Source organism: Homo sapiens, chromosome 18, assembly GCF_000001405.40.
Source record: "Homo sapiens chromosome 18, GRCh38.p14 Primary Assembly".
Classification (NCBI taxonomy): Eukaryota; Metazoa; Chordata; class Mammalia; order Primates; family Hominidae; genus Homo; species Homo sapiens.
Genome location: NC_000018.10, coordinates 43097036 through 43116789, shown reverse-complemented (window position 1 = coordinate 43116789; position 19754 = coordinate 43097036). Strand labels below are relative to the sequence as shown.

General features: G+C 36.3%; 1 protein-coding gene across 2 annotated transcripts in view; it reads left to right on the top strand.

The window, feature by feature from the left end:
* Window positions 1-1104: 1104 nt before the first annotated feature.
* RIT2 (Ras like without CAAX 2) overlaps window positions 1105-19754 on the top strand; it is a 372459-nt gene continuing 353809 nt past the window's right edge. For both annotated transcript variants that reach the window (NM_002930.4, NM_001272077.2), the window contains exon 1: window positions 1105-1373. In NM_002930.4, the coding sequence (NP_002921.1) occupies window positions 1271-1373 (103 nt within the window). In that variant the 5' untranslated portion in view covers window positions 1105-1270. The remainder of the gene's footprint in view (window positions 1374-19754) is intronic.

Sequence of the window (19754 nt, the reverse complement as noted above, 5' to 3'; positions counted from 1 at the left end):
TAACAATTTGAAGCCTCTACAGAAACCAGCAAGTATATATTGAGTGCCTACTCAGTGCACATATTATAGAATCACAAGAAATGGACTAAATATAGTTCTTTTCCTAGTGGAGCTTAAAATCTAGATAGAAAGACAAGTCTAGTCTATGCACACCAAACACTTGTCTGCATCTGATAATGATTCAAGCTTTAGAAAATAGACAATAAACATGTTAAACATCATCATGTTGATTAAAAGACAGGATCTTATTATGACAATTAGGAATTATTGAAAACATTCTTGACCCTCTGTAGTTTAGAAGTTCTTTAGAGAAAAACAAAGACCGCAAAGCTTTATAAGAATTCAAACAGGTAATAATAGTTTGGACATTTAAAAATATTCTTCTACAATCTTTTATGCTAGTATAATTGTCAGTAAAAATATTTATCAATTATCTCTTTCATGCTTGATAGTCCTTGTGATTTAAGTTGTTTCTAATAACTTAACGTAAACAAGCATGAGCCTTGTCCAAATATGACAATGATCTAATTCAATTACCCCCCTATGTTAAACCTGCAACTGTCTAGTGAGCTGAACAATTCCTGTTAGCCGGCTGTTATTTCAATAACACTGAAGATCCATCCTTATGAGCCCTGAGTTACTGTTCTGTTTTGTTTTTGTTTTGCTTTTCCATTTTCCCGGAATGAAAACTGCAATAGAAGAGTGATAAAATGCAAGACTATAAGCAGAAGAAATCCTTATTAATTGACTTTGATTAAAAGAAAATAGCATCTTTGAAGCTGTACCTACAGAAGTCATCCTGTGAGACATAGCAACTCCTGTGAGGTCTCAGATTCACTCCATTCTAGCAGCGCAGCCTGAAAAGGGGTCGAATGTGTGTGTGCCACTGACAACTGTGACTGTGCAGGGGGTAGGCAGGAAAGAGAAAGGAGAGAAACAGACAGTGGGGAAGGGAAATGGAGAAAGAATCAAATGAGGGAGGAAATGAAAATGAGAGAGAGAGAGAGAGAGAGATTGTAGGAGACGTGAAAGAGTGAAGGATCGGAAGGAAGGGTGGGGGATGCAAAAGCCAGATTTTTATTGGAAGCAATTGAAGTGGTTGCTATGAGACCCGCTCGAGCGGAGGACCAGCAGCCAGCCCGACGCTGATGGTTCTTACCTCGTACTAAAACCTTTGCTTTGACACAGTTTTAGAGTTGCTTAATATTCGAGCAAGCACCTGACACGGGTGACTTTCTCCTTCTTTTTTTCCTCCGGTCCCTCGGGTAAGATGGAGGTAGAAAATGAAGCCAGCTGCTCCCCGGGCAGCGCATCAGGCGGGTCCAGAGAGTACAAGGTGGTAATGCTGGGAGCAGGGGGAGTTGGTAAAAGCGGTAAGTTTTCACACCAAATGCTGGGGAAGGAGGGACCTCTATAGAGACAACTCTATAGAGTGAAAGAAAAATGATATTGCTGATGCTGTTAGAGGTGAACTGTGGCAGTTAAACACAGAGTATGGGTCTGGCAGGATGCTCCAAAGTGTCAGGACTGTTAAACCGATGCTGATGAGTCAGGATAATGCAGACAGCCAGTGATGATCCTCAGAACCTTAAGAGGATGATTGTTTTCTTTGATTTCATGCTGGGTGATATTTGCTCTTAGTGTATAGGTCTTTTTTAATAATAAAAATAAGTATGAAATTGTCATGGTATGAGAAAAATGTGCTCCTAGTCTCAAAAATCTTCACATAAAGAAAGAAGTGCTATGAATATTCAATTAAACACAGTTACAAACACAGACATATACTCGGGATGATGGGTGTTGATTGTTGTGTTTGTTTCTTTCATTAGGAGGTTCTTTTTCCTCATCTGTAGTCTGACATGGTGTGTGTGGGCTTTGAATACCAAAAGAAAGTTGGTTTTTGAAAGTGGCAGTGATTTATGGAATGATATTCATTGTGAGTCCTGTGCAGGGTGATCAAACTAAACTTTGTGGTCAATTAAAGGAGAAAGCTACACAAATAAATGAAGATGAGGTGATAATAGAGATGAAGAATAGCAAATTTCTTTTGGTACATAAAGAACGGAAGTGTCAGTTGTTGGGATTCTTGAGGAGCCTAAAAGGCCAAATATAAAAAAATTAAAAAAATAGATACATAGTAGTTTTTTGGCTGATCAAATGTTAGATAGCTCGGAGCTATGGCTATCACTAGAAAATAAATAAATATAGCTTTTTATATAAATATTAAATATCTCCACTGGGAATATATCTTTGGGAATTCTAAAAGGTAGAAAAAATATTATAGTTAGCATGGACAAAAAGCATCAAAACAAATCAGTAGTTTTAGTGTTGACAAAAAAATTAAAAGACGAAGACAATATTTTCGGCAGAAGAAACCAAAAAACTAACAACTTTGGTGGATGGGTCCACAAGGGATAGGAAAACTGAACAGTAAAGGAAGAGGAAGGAGATTGTGACTTTAGTGGACAACAAAGTTAAAGATAGTAAGAAACATAAAATTCAGCACCCCTACCTCTTCTCCTCACCCTACAAAAGAGAATTCTCATAAAAAATAAAAGAAATAGGTACATCTGGATGTGGTCAGTAGCAAAATGCATATCAAAGTGAAAAAAATTATTCATCTCTTCTAGGGAGGCAAAAATATGAAAGAAAAGCTTTGTAATTGTGTATAAATGAGGAATTTTTAAAAAGCTTTCTCCTCTAAATATAATGATTTGAGAAGGAAGGAATCAAAATAGGTTAGGATTTAAGGAAGGAGGAAGGGATGGAGGAAGGATAGAGACAACATGATCTATATAAAATGAAGTTATACTTTACAAGAATCCAGTCAGATACAGTGAGGAAGAAAGAAATAAACAATGTGAGAATAAAATACTGAAGAAGAGAGAAAAACAGATTTAAAAAAAACAGGCAAAAGACCAATCCACATTAAATGCCACCAGCAGCTTGTGAGGTCAGGGAGATGCTGAAATTGTCGCAATAATGTGCCTCTGTATTGCTTTTGTTTGCTGGTTAGGTATTTGCTTTTAGGAGCTTGGGGGATGTGGGGATAGAGTGACTGATTTTTAGCCTACTTCAATTTATTCCACCTAAATGAAACTTGGAGAAAAGAGATTTTGGACGGGAACATCCTTCAGCAACACACTTTTCTTGTGATATTGCTGATATTATAGTGGTGATATTTTATCTTCTATTTTGATCTCTCCCAAGTATTATTTGTGCTGACAGATCATTGTTACTGTTCCAATGACTATGGATTTTCAATGTGACACATGGCCCACAGAGTGGCCTGGCTTGCTCTCATCTTTGCTTTGTACAATAGAAGTCAATTCATAATTAAGTACTTGAACAAAACTTTTCCTGTGAGATGAAAAGACAGGAATGACCAGCTCATTCTCAGAGAAAGATAAGGATAAGGAGTATAAACAGCTCAGTTGTATTGATTATATATAAATGGCAACCTTGGCTACTACACCAGAGAATATTTCTCATACTACAATTTCACACCTGGAAAATGCTGTCCTTATGACTAAATGTTTGAAATCACAGTGAGAAAATCATCTGGTCCTTGGACTTTCCCCTGTGACTTACCTGATGTTCTTCCATCAGCATATAAACATTCAAGCACTGATTCTTAATATTAACCTTCTATTGAAGGTTAAAATATTTGCTTTCAAATGAGCTAAAAATATACATGGTTTATTTTATCTCATTTGAGCCTAGGCTGGGGTGCAGTGGCATGATCATGGCTCTAAAATATACGTTTTAAAACCTACTTTTCATATCAAAGACTTAGATCAACAGAGGTATATGAAGGGATTGTATAACCCCATTACCCTGGGTTGTGTGAAGAGATTTCCAGAAGAGATCTGCTCTTCTGAAGAAACTAAAGAAGATGCATCAAGCTACCATCTGTTTCCAATTCTGAGAGTCAAGTCCAAGTCAGCCTTAAACATGAATTAAAAACTAAATTTATGGTGACTATAATTTTTAAAATCTTGGAGATTTTTTATGTATATTAATATTTATTCTTTTTTATTTTTCTTTTTGTAGAGATGGGCTCTCACTATGTTGCCCAGGTTGGTCTCAAACTTCTGGCCTCAAGCAATGCTCCTGCCTCAGCCCCCCAAAGTGCTGGGATTATAGGCATGAGCCATTGTGCCTGGCCTGAGAAATGTTTTTGTCCATGTTTTACCAAAATATTTTTTAATAGAAACTTTTAAAAGAATTTGCAACTTTACTGAAATAGGAATTCCCACAAGATTTAAAATATGTCAGTTAATGAATGTACTTTATGTGAGGAATTTTAAACCACAAGTAATCAATAAAGTTTACTGAGCACGTATTATGCACAGTCCTATACTAGTTACTATGAAGGACGTAAACATTTATGAAGCCCCCATTGCATGGCAGGCATGGGCTACATGTATTTCACGCTTATACTCAGTCCTAACCACAGTCAGAGTCGGTATTTCTATTTCACAGATGAAAAAACAGAGGTCAGAAAAATAACTTGTGCCTGGTCATGGGGGTAATAATTTAGAGTTCTGTGATGTTTTATCTAACTCTACTACATTATGTTTAATGCTCTGAGAAGAACAAAGAGTTGCATCACTCACTAGTAAGAAGAAAACAGATCCATTGATAATGCATTTCCTAGGTCTCGAATGTTATATTTAGAAGAGATCTTAACCATCTAGGCTATCACTTTGATTTATACATCTATGCCGCTTTAATCTTTAACCTAATTGAACACTATGCATAATACTTCTGTATAAATATATAATATTAATATTTGTATTTATATTTTTATAATTATATGTAATATTGTCCAAGAATGTTACTAACTGCAGAGAAAACAGGGATACACAAGAATTATTTGGACAATGGCCAAACTGAGGCATTGAGAGGTGAAGAGACCTGCAAAGGTCATTTATACAGCAGTGGCAGAGTCAGATCCAGAATCCAGTCCTTCTGACACCATTGAAGCTGCTTTTCCATCACTCCCCAATTTTTACACAGAGTAAGCTGAATCAAAACTGCACCATACAAAGTAACAGATATGTATACAAAGTAGCAGACATTTAGGAGGAACAAGTATAGAGATCTAATGTATAGGATGAGGACTAGAGGTAATAATATTTTATTTGGGGTTTATGCTAAATTAGTAGATTTTTTTATGTTTATTTGTACATAGTAGGTGTATATATTTTATACATGTATATATTTATGGAGTACATGAGATATTTGGATACAGGCATACAGTGTATAATAATCACATCAGGGTATGGTGTATCCATCACCTCAAACATTCATCATTTATTTGTGTTATAAATCTTCCATTATACTTTTTTGTTATTTTAAAATGTACAATAACTTATTTGTGATGATAATGACCCTGTTGTGCTATCAAATGTTAGATCTTATTCATTCCATCTAACCACAATTTTGTACCCATTAACCATCTCCACTCCCTCTTCCTACTACCCTTTCCAGCCTCTGGTAGCCATCATTCTACTATCTCCATGAATTAAATTGTTTTAATTTTTAACTTCCACAAATGAATGAGACCATGCAAAGTTTGTCTTTCTGTGTCTGGCTTATTTCACTTGACACAATGATCTCCATTTCCATGCATGCTGTTGCAAATGACTGGATCTCATTCTTTTATATAGCTGAATAGTATTCCATTGTGTATATATACCACATTTATTTTATTCATTCTTCTGTTGATGGACACTTAAGTTACTTCCAAATCTTGGCTATTGTTGCTAGTGCTGCATAAATTAGTAGATTTTAGCTGCTGATACTGCCACCCCCTATAAAAAGTAGCTATGTGAAATGATGGATATGCTAATTTGTTTTCCTATAGTAAATATTTTACTATCTATGTGTATCCCACAACATCATATTGTATACCTTAAATATACACAATAAAGTTTATTTTAAAAATAAGACTCATGACGAGAAAACTACTTAAGAAACAACACACATATATATACACACATACACATTCAGTGAAATAACATTAAATGACAGTAGAATAGAAACTTATATTACAAACTGTGATTACAACTAAAACCAAAAGAAAACAACAAAAAAGACAAATTATCCAATAAAGTTCAGTATGTTAGGCATCTTTTAGGCATCTTCTTTTAGCCTTCTATCTCATTTTGTTCCACTGCCCGCCACTCACCCACCCTAAAAAATAAAAATAAAAATAATCTCATGGTTACAGTTTTAAAGTTTTATGGAGCCTAAACAATCCTTATAACAGTTTCAAATATTGACCTTTGTCACTGTGGTTTGAAACAGCAAGGCCGTTCCTCAATGCCAGAGCATGATGAAATATTGTCTTCCTTGGCTTCACATCTGGTTCTCCAAGTTCAGAATCAAATTTATTCAACAGATTTTATTTAATAAAAATAATATCTTATTTTCCAGGTATTTTGGAAAATATCTGCATTTGGGATTTATTCTAAGTTAGTAGGTTTTTATTTTACTGATTTTTTTTATTTTTATGGGTACATAGTGGGTATATATATATATGGAGTTAAGGAAATATTCGTATACAGGCATACACTTAACATAATGATAATGTTTTAAGATTTAAATAATTTAAGATTCATAATGATCATATTTTGCAAAATAAGATATTATCGCATAAAATTGGGGTAAAAATAACATTTTACTTATTCTGATTATGATCTTATTTGATCACAAAGTAAGAAGGCAAGTAGGAGAGGTATCTAAGCACAGAACTATCAAGAGATTTGTCTAGTAGGAAAGTCAGAAAATAAGGACTGGACATGAACACAGGCTTTCTACATCTAAATTGTTTTTCTATCAAATTGTATGGGAAAAGCAGAAAAAGGTTCCCAATGTCAGATGAGAACTTTATGTCCTTCTCTGGTCCCTAGGACACATCTTGGAATTATTTGGTGAAATGTTGTCAACATACATCTTCAAATGTGAAATATGTATGAAACACTATGCAAGTCATTGAGCAGGGAGGGAGTGTTATTCACAACTATGATTTCAGGTGATTCCTGACCTCTGGGAGTGCACCATCTCATGGTGGAAAATTTGCTGTAATGTGTAATACAAAACAATAAGTTTATATTAGGCTTCTGATGTAAGAGCTTTGGAAACTCAGTATAAGGGGTGGCTATAAGAGATGTGAAAGTTGAGAAGAAATCACAGCATAGATGGTATTTAAATTATGTCTTAAAGGATGAGGAGGATTTTTTTGATGCTGAAGAAGAAAAGTATGGGGAGATCCAAGGGAAAGAATTGAACATAAACAGTGTATACAGGGGCACAAAGGGATCTGAAGGCTTATAATTTTTAATGGCAGCATCTTGATAATTTAGTGTCTCTAAGTGGTAGTTGAAAAAATATCTTTTGAGATTTGCTCAATAGATGCTTCAGTTAACTGTGAAAAAGTTACACAACACAAATAAACTGAAAACCCAAAAAGGATTAGGGAACTCAGAATTTATTAGAATGTTTCCATTGTGAATTCTTTGTAAAGAAAAAACTGATTTCTAAAATAAACAAACATATTCTCTCCCACGGCCATGTGCAGTTTGTTGCCTCTGCAAATTCAGTTTCATGTAGCAGGATTTTATAAAGAGAAAGCAGTAACAATATCTCTGAGGTAAACGGAAAGCAGCACACAACCAATTCCTTCCACCTCAGTGAATTAGGAAAGCAGGTAGGAAGTTGAGCCTTTATCTGATGAATTAAATCAAGGCAAGCAACCAAGTGCATCATTCATGTCCCACAGCCTCTGTATTTTACTTCATTAGCAGAACTTTGAGTCTGACAAAGCTCAACAATTGTCACATCGTGGCCATGCGTTATCCTAACCCTGTGGACTGTAAGGCAAAAGAAACAAAATAAACAAGGGGAAAGCAAAAAGATTTTAAGATTCCAGGGCCTTCTGTTCTCACCCTTAATTGTTACCACCTCAGTTGTACTGCAGACCATCACTCACTGCAATACTGTCAGGAAGCATTAGCCAAGAGGTCTAAATAAGGCTCAGTAAAAGAGTAAATTGGTATCTACTCACTCAAATAATGATTGAAAACAGAATTCAGGCGAAAGGCTTTGATTGACAACATCTCCAAGATTATATGCACTCTGTAGATTTTAAATTGATGAAAGAGAGTTTCTACAGCTCTACATGAGTACTATATGATATGTCTGCCCCATCTATGACTGGAGATGAACGAGCATGTAATAATCCCTCAATGAGCCCACATGTTGCTGAGCTCTTTACGTTCACGCATTTGCTTTGGTGTTTTGCTGGCTGATGGTCTGTCACATTCCCTTGCCTTACTATACCCCTCACCCTGCCTTGATCTTGTGAGGAAGGCTTTACTGTCTGCGTTTTATAAGTGAGAAAACTGAGGTACACACACACACACACACACACACGTAATATGGCCCAAGGCACATAGATATTAAATGATGAACCTAATGTGCCTACATATGGATGTCTAAGTTCGATGTTTACATTATTTTTATTTTCTCACCTGAAAGTTTTTATTTTTTGAAGACATGATACAGTGAACCTGAGTTCTAACTTCAGCTGCATTTTTTTTTTTTTTGAGATGGAGTCTCGTTCTATCACTCAGGCTGGAGTGCACTGGTGCAATCTCGGCTCACTGCAAGCTCTGCCTCCTGGGTTCACACCATTATCCTGCCTCAGCCTCCCCGAATAACTGGGACTACAGTCACCCGCCACCATGCCCGGTTAATTTTTTTTTTTTTTTTTGTATTTTTAGTAGAGACGGGGTATCACCGTGTTAGCCAGGATGGTCTCGATCTCCTGACCTCGTCATCCACCCGCCTCGGACTTCCAAAGGGCTGGGGTTACAGGCGTGAGCCACTGCACCCGGCCACATTTTCATGCATGTATTTTAAACATCACACAAAATCGTCTATATGAAAATATTTTAATATTTTTAATTTTCTACACAAACAACGGAGAGTGCTACGCTTATTAGATGGGGTAGTGAGTGGCATGAGGAGCTCTGACTAAACAATTTAGCATGGAGGTGCCAAAGACTGGTTTGTTCTTGTCTATTCAGAGACCCCTGGGGGCCTCAACCACATAGAGAGAAGGTGACAATTCCTTTCAACTTGAGAAAACCAAGTAACCCAGTAATTATAGGAATTTATTGAAACCTGGGATCATGCAAACAAAGAAAGTAAACAGGGTGCTGAGTAAACCATACCGATTTTTGAAATTAGGTGCTGATTTGCTTAGGGAAGCATACTTTCTTTAAACATATACATTTTGGAATAATTAATAGAAACTGACAAAAGAGTGTTTGTGTGTGTATGCGTGCACGCACGCGTGCACGCCTAGACCTGTGAAAAGCCCACAGATATGACCAAGAATTAGACACAGCCTCTGCCCTGTCCACCAGGGTAACAAACAAGATGTATAAACAGACTTGTGAGGCAATGATAGAGATGCATGGGAGGTATTTTGGAAGCAATGAGAACTATGGCTTAGAAAGATAAAATGACCTACCATACATTGTTCAGCTGTTCATCTGTAGCGTTGGGACTAGAGTCTCCTGACTTTCTAGAGCATGAATTTTTCCAATAGGCCATTTTGCCTCCCATAAACCAGCATAAAATCTCACTGGAGATCAACCTGCTGCCTATGACCGATTATTTCTGTGCGTGTGTGTGTTTGCAGTGTGGTGGGATTGCGACTGTACACATTGACAGACGGTGGTCCTCTGTACTGCTCACAGACATGGAAGGTGCACTTTTATCAATGAATCTGGCTATTTGCAAAGCCCATCAATGATATCTACTCAATCACTTGGGCTTTCCTCATAAATAAATACCAGCTTTCTGGTGACCCTGACCAAACAGTGCTACCTGTCCTTCTCATTGCTCAGCAGGGACCAGCTAAGTGCCATTGCTAGTCACTCTGCCAGACCATCATTTCTGCCCTTTCTGCCTACTATAATTCTACTTCAGCTAACACCACAGCTTCAGCGTGAGAGTATTGATAGTTCTGGTCCCCAAATACTCCAAGCATTTCAGCATCCTGCCACTGCCATGTGTATTGGGCAGATAGAAACCTGATTCTTCCTAAAGTATGCATGAAGGATGTAAAGCCGAAGGGGGAGTGGGGGACTGGGGCCTCCCTGGAGATGTTGCATTGAAAAGGAAATCAGAGAGAAAACTATATTTGCAGTCCCAGGAAAAAATCTTTAATTGAACTGAAATGAGATAGTGTAGATAATTTGTGGTCTTACAATGGAACGCCGAATAAAGATTTTTAACAATTATAGTTAGAGAAGTTGTGGTGGTGGTGGATGAGGGAAGTTCTTTATCAGAAGATTTCTTGTATATGTGAAAATCAATGTTTGGGTAGTCACTTATTGAATGAATCAGAAGTCCTTAGACACTTTACCAGTTCACATTTCCTCTTAATATGCTTTAAAATGAGCAATAAAGTGTGTGTTTGTGTTCATAAATCTGCGTGCATTCACAAAAGAGGAATGTTTCTTGTTTTGTCCAAACTATTATTCTTTCAATTTCTTCCTGCAATGAATGGCAAAATAAAAGTGAACACTTCTGAGTTTTGCATATACCTGACCCTGTTCAAAATGCACTAAATATGTTAATTTATTAAGTCTCACTAAACCCAGAAGTGTGGGTGTGGTTAATATCTCTAATTAATAGATGAGAACAATAAAGCTTGAAGATGGTGAGTAATTCACTCAGGAACCCAGAGCCTGAGGTGACTATGCAGGACTCAACCACTGCCAGAGCTGAGGCCCTTAACCACTGTCCACTGTGCTCGTTACCATATATTATTTTGATCAACCTTCAATCTGTAGAATGAAGCCCTACCATAGAAGTGATGACAGAATAATGTGAACTGGGGGTTTGGGTAACCCAGGAAATCCATATTTGTCTTTTCTCATCTGTAAAATGGGGATGACAATAATAACTACTGTAACGGTTCATACTCAGAATATTAATTACATAGCCTGGCACAAACTGTGGGACAAAGTTTATAACGTAAATGGATAGCTTTGTTTTTATTTATTTACCCTTAACAACACTTGACGTTGCACAGGTCACTTAAGCTCTTTGAGTCTCCCTTTTCCTCATTAAGGGCTTTAATTAAAATATCCTCAGAGAATTGCTGGGTAGATGACATTGGAAAATACTAAATAAAAACTATAGATTATATTGCCCAATATTACACCTTCATTAAAACTGCTCATTCCCTCCCTCCCTCCCTCCCTTTCTTCCTCCCTTCCTCCCTTCCTCTCTTCCTCCCTTCCTCCCTTCCTTTTTTTGTTCCTTCCTTCCATGCCTCCACCTAAGGCAGTTTACCTCTGTAACATAGGGAAGAGTAGTGACACATATTTCAGATAGGTCCTAGGAAAATACAATTTGGGTTGAATATTGTAAAACTGCCATTGTATATGCACCTGCTCTATTCTTGTTCTTGCTCTCTAGATCCTTATATTGATTAGTTTCTGCTTTGGTCTCCTGAGTGGTAATTTCAGTGACAGTAATAAAAGTAGTTTACTAGTTACCTTAGTAAACAATCCCTTTATTCATCCTAATTGACCCATACCACACACAAACACACACACACACACACAAACACACACACACACACACACACACACACACAGCACACTGCCTGTTAGAGAAAGGACTGGAGGACAATTGCCTGCTACAATAGCCCACAAAGGGCCTGATTAGAGGGGCTATGGCTTTTAACAGAGCATGCCTCTGCTTGAATCCAGACTGAAATTAATTTTTCCAATTTGTGTATTGTTTTAATAAATTTTGAGTAATATGACATGTCTTCCATTCTCCATAGTAGCAACACTGAACATTTAAAGGGAAAGAGTCATATTTAATGGTTGCAGGAAAAGCTAATAATAAGCTACATGGATACAGATTTTTGTTTAATTGAAGAAATCAGGCTCTTTATTTGGTAGCAAAAGGGCACATCTTTTATTTGAAATTGTAAAAACTTCAGCTAATTGGTTCCTGCCTATTATATTTATTTATTTATTTATTTACTGTTTAGAAATATTTCATACTTTATTCCAATATAATTATCTTAGGACTGAAATCAGTGGAAAAATATTAGGGATTTTATATTGGCAAATTCTGAGTAACAGAAGTCTGGAATACCTCAGCATCTTTTTTTTTCCCTTTCATTTTTAGTTGACAAGTAATAATCATATGTATTTATGTGTTATTTTCATAGGTGTATACAATGTATAATGATCAAATAATGGTAATTAGGATATCTATCACCTCAAACATTTATTACTTCTTTGTGCTGTGAACATTAAAATCCTCTCTAACTTTTTGAAAATACACAATAAATTATAGCCAACCACATTCATTATATAGCGCTGTGGAACACCAGAACTCATTCCTCCCATCTAGCTGTGATTTTGTATCTGTTAACCAAACTCTCCCCATCCTACCCTCCCTCTCTCTTCCCAGCCTCTAATGACCACAGTTCTACTTCTATATCAACTTTTTTAGATTTCATTTACAAGTGAGAACTTTTGGTATTTATCTTTCTATGCCTGATTTAGTTTACTTAACGTTATGTCCTCCAGGTTCATCCATGTTGTGGCAAATGACAGGATTTCATTCTTTTTTCATGTCTGAATAGCATTCCATTGTGTATGTATATGACATTTCCTTTATCCATTTATCTGTTGATGGGCGTTCCGTTGTATTCCATATCTCAGTTACTGTGCGTAGTGGTGCAATAAACTTGGGGGTGTAGGTATCCTTTTGATATACTGACTCCTTTTTCTTTAGATAAATACCCAGTAGTGGGATTTCTTCTATCATCTTTTAAACCCCCATATCCCACTCTTACCTGCTCTTCATACCACTTCATACCACCGTCCTGAAATACCATTTTGATTCTTCTCCTCCCCAAACAACTAAGATATCTTACTTTATTCCAACACCGTCATTTTAGAATTGAAATAGACCCAGACATGTCCTTCCATCACTGTCATCTACCTTCTAGACAAACTATTTTACTTTTTGTTCCCCAATCACGAAGTTATTTTAAAATAAGCTCTCTCCTCCTTTCCCTCAATTTGTTCGATTTGATCTGTCCTTTCAGATTCTGCACAAATACTTCTTGCTCTTTAATATCTTCCCTGTCTACTCCAGTCTAATATCTTCTCTCTTCTTTATAACACTTAAAATTCTTTCTGATTATTATCCCTTCCAATAACTATTTACAGTTACACAGTTTCTTTGAGCATCTGGCTTGTGGTCTTAAGATGTTATTTAAAGTTTGAATTTGTATTTAATTTGTTATCTCTTTATGTTTAATTTTCCTGTTTTAATAGCAAATTCATGAGGAGTAGGAAATAGATTTTATATTGTCTTTCTTTTCCCGTGATACTTATGGGAGTAAATCTTCAAAAATATTTATAAACATAATACCCTTTTTCATCTTTGAGGAAATTCAGAAAGTAAGACACCGGGCATATGTAGTAAAATAAAACTAAGCAATATTCTAAAAGTTCACAATAGAGCCATGAATAATAGAGAAAGAAACTGGTACCAAGAGAGAAGTGGCAGGTATGTAAGTATAGGGTAAGGGTGTGGCTTGGGAACAACCTAGACTCAGGCCAGCATTAACAATCTTTGGTGACCATGGATTTGAAGGCCAATAAGCCCACACAGTGTTTAGGATGTTCAGAAACACAAATAGACCACAGGAAGTTTGTCCATCAAAACATGGCAGATAGTCACAAACAATTAAGATATAAATGCTGAGTTAAGGGCCGGGCGCAGTGGCTCACGTCCATAATCCCAGCGCTTTGGGAGGCCGAGGTGGGCAGATCACTTGAGGCCAGGAGTCCGAGACCAGCCTGGCCAACATGGTGAAGCCCCATCTCTACTAAAAATACAAAAATTATCCGGCTCTGGTGGTGCACTCCTGTAGTCCCAGCTACTCAGGAAGCTGAGGCATGAGAATCGCTTGAACCCGGGAGGCGAAGGTTGCAGTGAGCCGAGATCATGCCACTGCACACCAGCCTGGGCAACAGAGCGAGACTTTGTCTCCAAAGAGAAAAATAATAAATAAATAAATAAATGCTGAATTAAAAAAAACTGAGCATGCACCAGCAGACAGAATCAGAAGCAGTGTACACATTCCTTGAAAGCAAAAGATTAGGATAACTGACATATGAAACCATGAAAATAGCTCATGTTTTATTTCCGAAACCTTTTTCCACCGCACACCAGAACTGTGGACTACTCTCCGGAAAAAAAAAAAAAAAAAAAAAAAGGGTTTCCTGAGGGTTGGAGTGAGGAGGAGAAAAGAAAGTATTTTATAAAATGTTATAAGAAGATCTCAGCAAATAAGACTTCAGAACATTGTTTACCCCCATGGTTCTAAGTTCAGAATGTTTACTAACATAACAAAGAACAATTGTTTCTTGGTCAACACTAAGAAAAACTGAGGTAGATTGTAGTTGCAACACTGAATTCTGAATTAGCCACATGTTTCCACATATGTTTCCTGGGAGGGTAAAAATCATTCTGCATAAGATTTAATTTTAATTTTGATAAGAGGAAATCCTAAGAAGAGAAGACCATAGAATCTCAAATAGGACTAGATTCAAATCAAAGCATCACTTCTCCCTGATGTCAGGAAGCTGTAAAATCAAGAAGGCAAAACTTATTTCATGGGCAAAGTTGTTGCCGTTATTAGAAAACAAACAAAACAACAAAATGAAAAGCAAATAAACATACAGAAAACAACTTTACTATCTAGGATTAAAAGTTTTTCCTTCCTATTTTGTCTATTTTTTGTTTAGCTAGCTACCCACTCTTTTCTACTTGCTCCGTCTTAATGAATGAGCTTAAACGATCTAATATCAGCTTTCACACTTTCTTTAGAGCCACCCCACAAAAGCCTTTAATATTTTTTCTGCCCTTAAAAAAATTTGCCTTCCACTTCATCACAGAAAAGCAAATTGAAAACATTTTTACCTAAAATACTTTGCTATGACAGGAATACAAGTGGTCTGCCATTCTTAGCTTATTTATATATTTTCTGAATGTAATTCTGAGACAGCCTGGCATGTTTGAAACAGCATGGACTTTGAAGAGGGACAGGCATGCATTGAAATTCAGTTCTCCCACTAATTAATCAAGTGACTTTGCTGATTCTTCCTCTTCTTCTAGATCTCTTAATGTTGCACGACACAGGGCTTCTTCTCATTTTAATTTCCTATGGTATTTTATCCAGTCACATGGCTTCAGTATAATTTATATACCTTTATGTCTTTGTATTAAATTAAATTTTTATCTAGATAACATTTATATCTAAATTTATGTCTGGATAATTAGACATAATTAAAATGACAAAAATTTAAAAAGACTACACTGCTAACGAAGAGATAGGGCATAATGAGAGTAAGAATTCATACAGCCACTGTACAAAATAATTTGACACTTGGTACCAAGATGAAGAAATATGTAACTTGATCAGATGGTTTAGCAATTCTACTCTTAGCTATATATACTCAACAGAATTTAACATACGTATGAACAAAGAGGCATGGTTAAAATGTTTACAATGGCATTATTCCTAATAGTCCTCAATTAAAAGTCTACATGTTCATTACTATAAGTGAATCGTGTTAGAATTTATATATAGATATATATATATACACACACATACATTATACACAGACAGAAAATATATATATGTGCACATATTTATGTGTGAATACAAACACACACACATATATGTCTGTGCATGTGTGTGTATATACACACACATACACACACAAAAGGAAAAGATCACCTACGTAGTCTCCTTTCAAGGAAGGGAGAAGGCAGTGATGGCACTGGGGGATTCTGAAGTCCAGAAATGCAGACTAAAATTCCCCAAAACTAAACCACCGATCTTCTTTTCAAACTTGTTTACCCCCAGCCTCCCTCATATCAATTGATAGCAACTCCATCTTTCCAATTGTGCAGGTCCAAAACATTGGCCTGATGCTTTACTCCTCTTTCCTTCATACTTCCACATCCAGTTCATAAGTAATTTCCTTGGTTTTGTCTTCTATGTATATCCAGAGGTGTCCTTTTTTCAAAACTCAGTTGTGAATTGAATTCTAACTTACCATCCTCTTTTTCCTGTATCTATAGTTTTGCACTAGCCCTTCTCCATGTTTCAATTGTCTCCTACAATTTATTAACACAGCAGCTAGAGTGGTCCTTTTAAGCTACAAGTCAGATTTGTCATTACTGTGCTTTAAACTCTACCATGGCTCTTGTTTCACTCACAGCACTTTTAACAGCCAATGTCACTTCTGTGATCTCATGTCCTACTAACCTCCCTCTTGCTCTCTCTACTTCAGAAATATCAGCTTCCATGCTGTTCCTAAAATATGCCAGACAGGCACACTTCCCTTTTAGGGTCTTTGTGTTAGCTTTTTCCTCTGCCTGGGATACTTTTCTCCAGATATCTGCTTGGCTTACTCTATCTTTTTCAAGCATCTCTCTCCTATTGTCGCATCAATGGACCTGTCCGCACCAGCCTATTCTATTGAAAAACCTCACCTTTCTACCACATCCAAATCTCCGTTTCTTTGGTCCACTTTTTCTTTCTATAGCACCTATTGCTTTCCAATGTAATAACTGATTATGTTACTAGTTATTGTTGGCCTTCCCCAACACTAGAATATCTGTTTTATTCTCCCAACTGCCTAGTGAATAAATGAAATAAAGTTACCTAAACTTGTGAAGCTTCAATGTATTTATCTCTAAAGTATGGAAAATAATACCAGCCTTGCCAGTGGGTTGTGAGATTCAGGGCTGCAGCAGTAGAGATGAGAAGTGATAAGACTCTAGTTATATTTTGAAAGAAATGCCAAAAGCATTTAGTGATTGATAGGAGAGCGTTGGGGCCTAAGCCAAAAATGATTTTGCCATCAATTGAAATGGATTATTCTATGCAAATTTGTCAGAAAAAAACCCTGCAAGATTGTGATTTTAATGTTATGCAGCAAAAGAGAGCATACATGGCTCTTGATATTATAGAGAGACAAAATACACAAATACACATGTGTTTATGATCTTCTGATGCTTATACTCCCATTGAGTTTAAGACTTTTTGAAACAGAACCTATGCTGTAGGGGAAATATGAAGATTAAATTTAATAATCCAAATAAACAAGTGTCATCTGTATATAGGTATTTGATAAATGTCTGAAGTTATTATTTTTTATTATATTAACAAAAAGACTGATAGTTTATATTAATAAAATGACTGACAGTTAAGGTGAGGAAGAAATACATTAATATATACAAGATTAAAAATGCAAACTTACGTTACTTAATGTAATGTTCATTTCTAAATGAAAGGGGAGTAAATAAAAACTTGCTTATAGATCATTATAACCTTGGAAATCACACTCTGTTAAGGAGGTTTAAACTGAATCATTCATTCATTTAATATGCAGTATAGATGTATTGAGTTCTATAGCTTTCCAGCCATCATTCTGGATGCTAGAGTCATAGAACTAGCCTGAGCCCACACCTTCAGAAAGGCAAAGAGAGACAAATGATAAGGAAATTACAATTACCAAAGCATCAAAGCTGATCTTGTTAGTGCTCTTTTTTCTGATTATCTTTTCCAAATAAATTTGTTATATATGATTTACCTAGAACCAAAATAGAAAATCAGAAAAGTTCATCTCCCCTTTCCTTAAAATCATATGCCAACAGCATGGAGGTTTTCTTAGGAGCATAGGCCAGATGTTGCCATCCTGTTTCTCTATGTCATCCCAAATATTGACATGACTGTTCATTCCTCTGAGGCTGGGTTTGTTTCGTATAGTATGTGCTTAAAAGTAAAGATTTGAGATCTTGCTACCAGCATTTAAATCCTGGTCCATTCCTTCAGTAATGTTGTGATCATGGGCATATCACTCAGCATCTTTGAATCTTGGTTTTCTTGTCTGTCAAATGGGGTTGATAGTACAGTGGCCTTCCAATGAATTAATGAATAGGCTTCCAATGAATTCTTATAAATAAAATCCTGAAAACAGTACCTGGCACTTCCTCATAAGCACTAGTTATTGTTGTCGTGGTTGTTATTGTTGCTATTGTTATTGTAACTATTATGTCGTTACAAAAAACCCTATTCTGTCCTACCCAGGCTGACAATTATGTTTTCTCCATTTTTCTCTAAGACTGAGATGACTTTATTCTCCCTTACTTCAATAAAAGCATTTATTATTTACATCCCTGTGTGTTACAACTATTCTCTCTTTATCTAGGGTGAAAAGATTCATGCAATCCTGAGCAAATGGGCTTAGAAGGAGGGGAACCAAAGGCTGCTTTTGCTAATGATTTTCTGGGAAAAAAGTGGCTTCTGATTTCTAAACCCCTGGTTCTTCCCAGAAAGGAAGACACATGTTTCTGCCATTTTTGAAAACTCTGACCATAAAAGATTATCACCTAGAATCGTTCTGATCCCTTAGAAAAGGACTTTCTAATACAACTTCCAACACTGCAAGTTTCTCATGCAGAAAACCTTTAGAAACAAGTGAATTCAAAAGAGAATTTAAGGAACCAGGTTATAGCTTCAGTATTTTGTTCAATTTGAGCTTATCCTGGAAAGTGACATATTTTACATCTCTTTGAGCTGCTCCCCATCACTCCCATCATGTGCTATCATTTTTAATTTTCAAGTTTTATAGCTAGCACTTTAGCTACACCAGCTAATATCTAGCTAACTAATAAGGTCCTCTGCTTCCACCTTTATTGATTAATCATCTGTTGGAGTTTTTAATATCCATTTGTGTTTAATTTGCTGATATTAAAAAATGCCTCTTTCCTGAAAGTGATGGATGGTCTTCCAAAGGACAGGACTTTGGTTATGATTTATGTAACGGCAAGTTCACTGGAGCCTGGCTGGAAAACTACCCTTGGAGATCATTGTAATAAAGAGCTCTGTAGCGACACTTTTCAGGTCTTTAAAAGCTGTCTGGTGGATAAAGTTTTCTTTTTATTCGGATTTCTATGTAGACCTTCTAGAATCAGCCTCAAGTAAAACTCAGCCAATGGGAGTTATTGTTTTCTTATACAAACACTTTGTTCCAGACAAAAGGAACTTTTCATTGTCTCCCAAGTATACCTTATGTCTCTATATGTAACTTTTGCATAAGATATCCTACTCTTTTCCAATAGCTTTCTGGAATCTTCTCTGCTTATTTTAATTTCACTTATTCTTCAAGAACTAAGAGGTAAATATCCAAACCCACAGTAATTTATTCTCCCTCTCAGTATTTCTACTTTTCGCTGTCTTTGCTATTTATTTAACATTTAACATATTCGGATTTGTATATTTAACCTCCTCTGTGTATGTCCTGTCTTTTCTCTATAATATAAACTCTATAAGTTAAGTTTTATATGCTCTATACTCTATGCCAGTACTTCTCAAATTGTCGCTCCCTGGTCCTCAGCAGCTACAGCATCTGGGAACCTGTTAGAAATACAAATGCTCACACCACATTTCAGATCTACAAAATCACAAACTCTAAGGGGTGTTTTCAAACCTCCCCATATAATTATATTGTATAGCAGTTTGAGAATCCCTAGTCTACATGATGCTGCTTTCTCTCTTTCTCATGATAGCAAGGGCTCAGGATACATGGGACACTTGCATATTTGTTAGT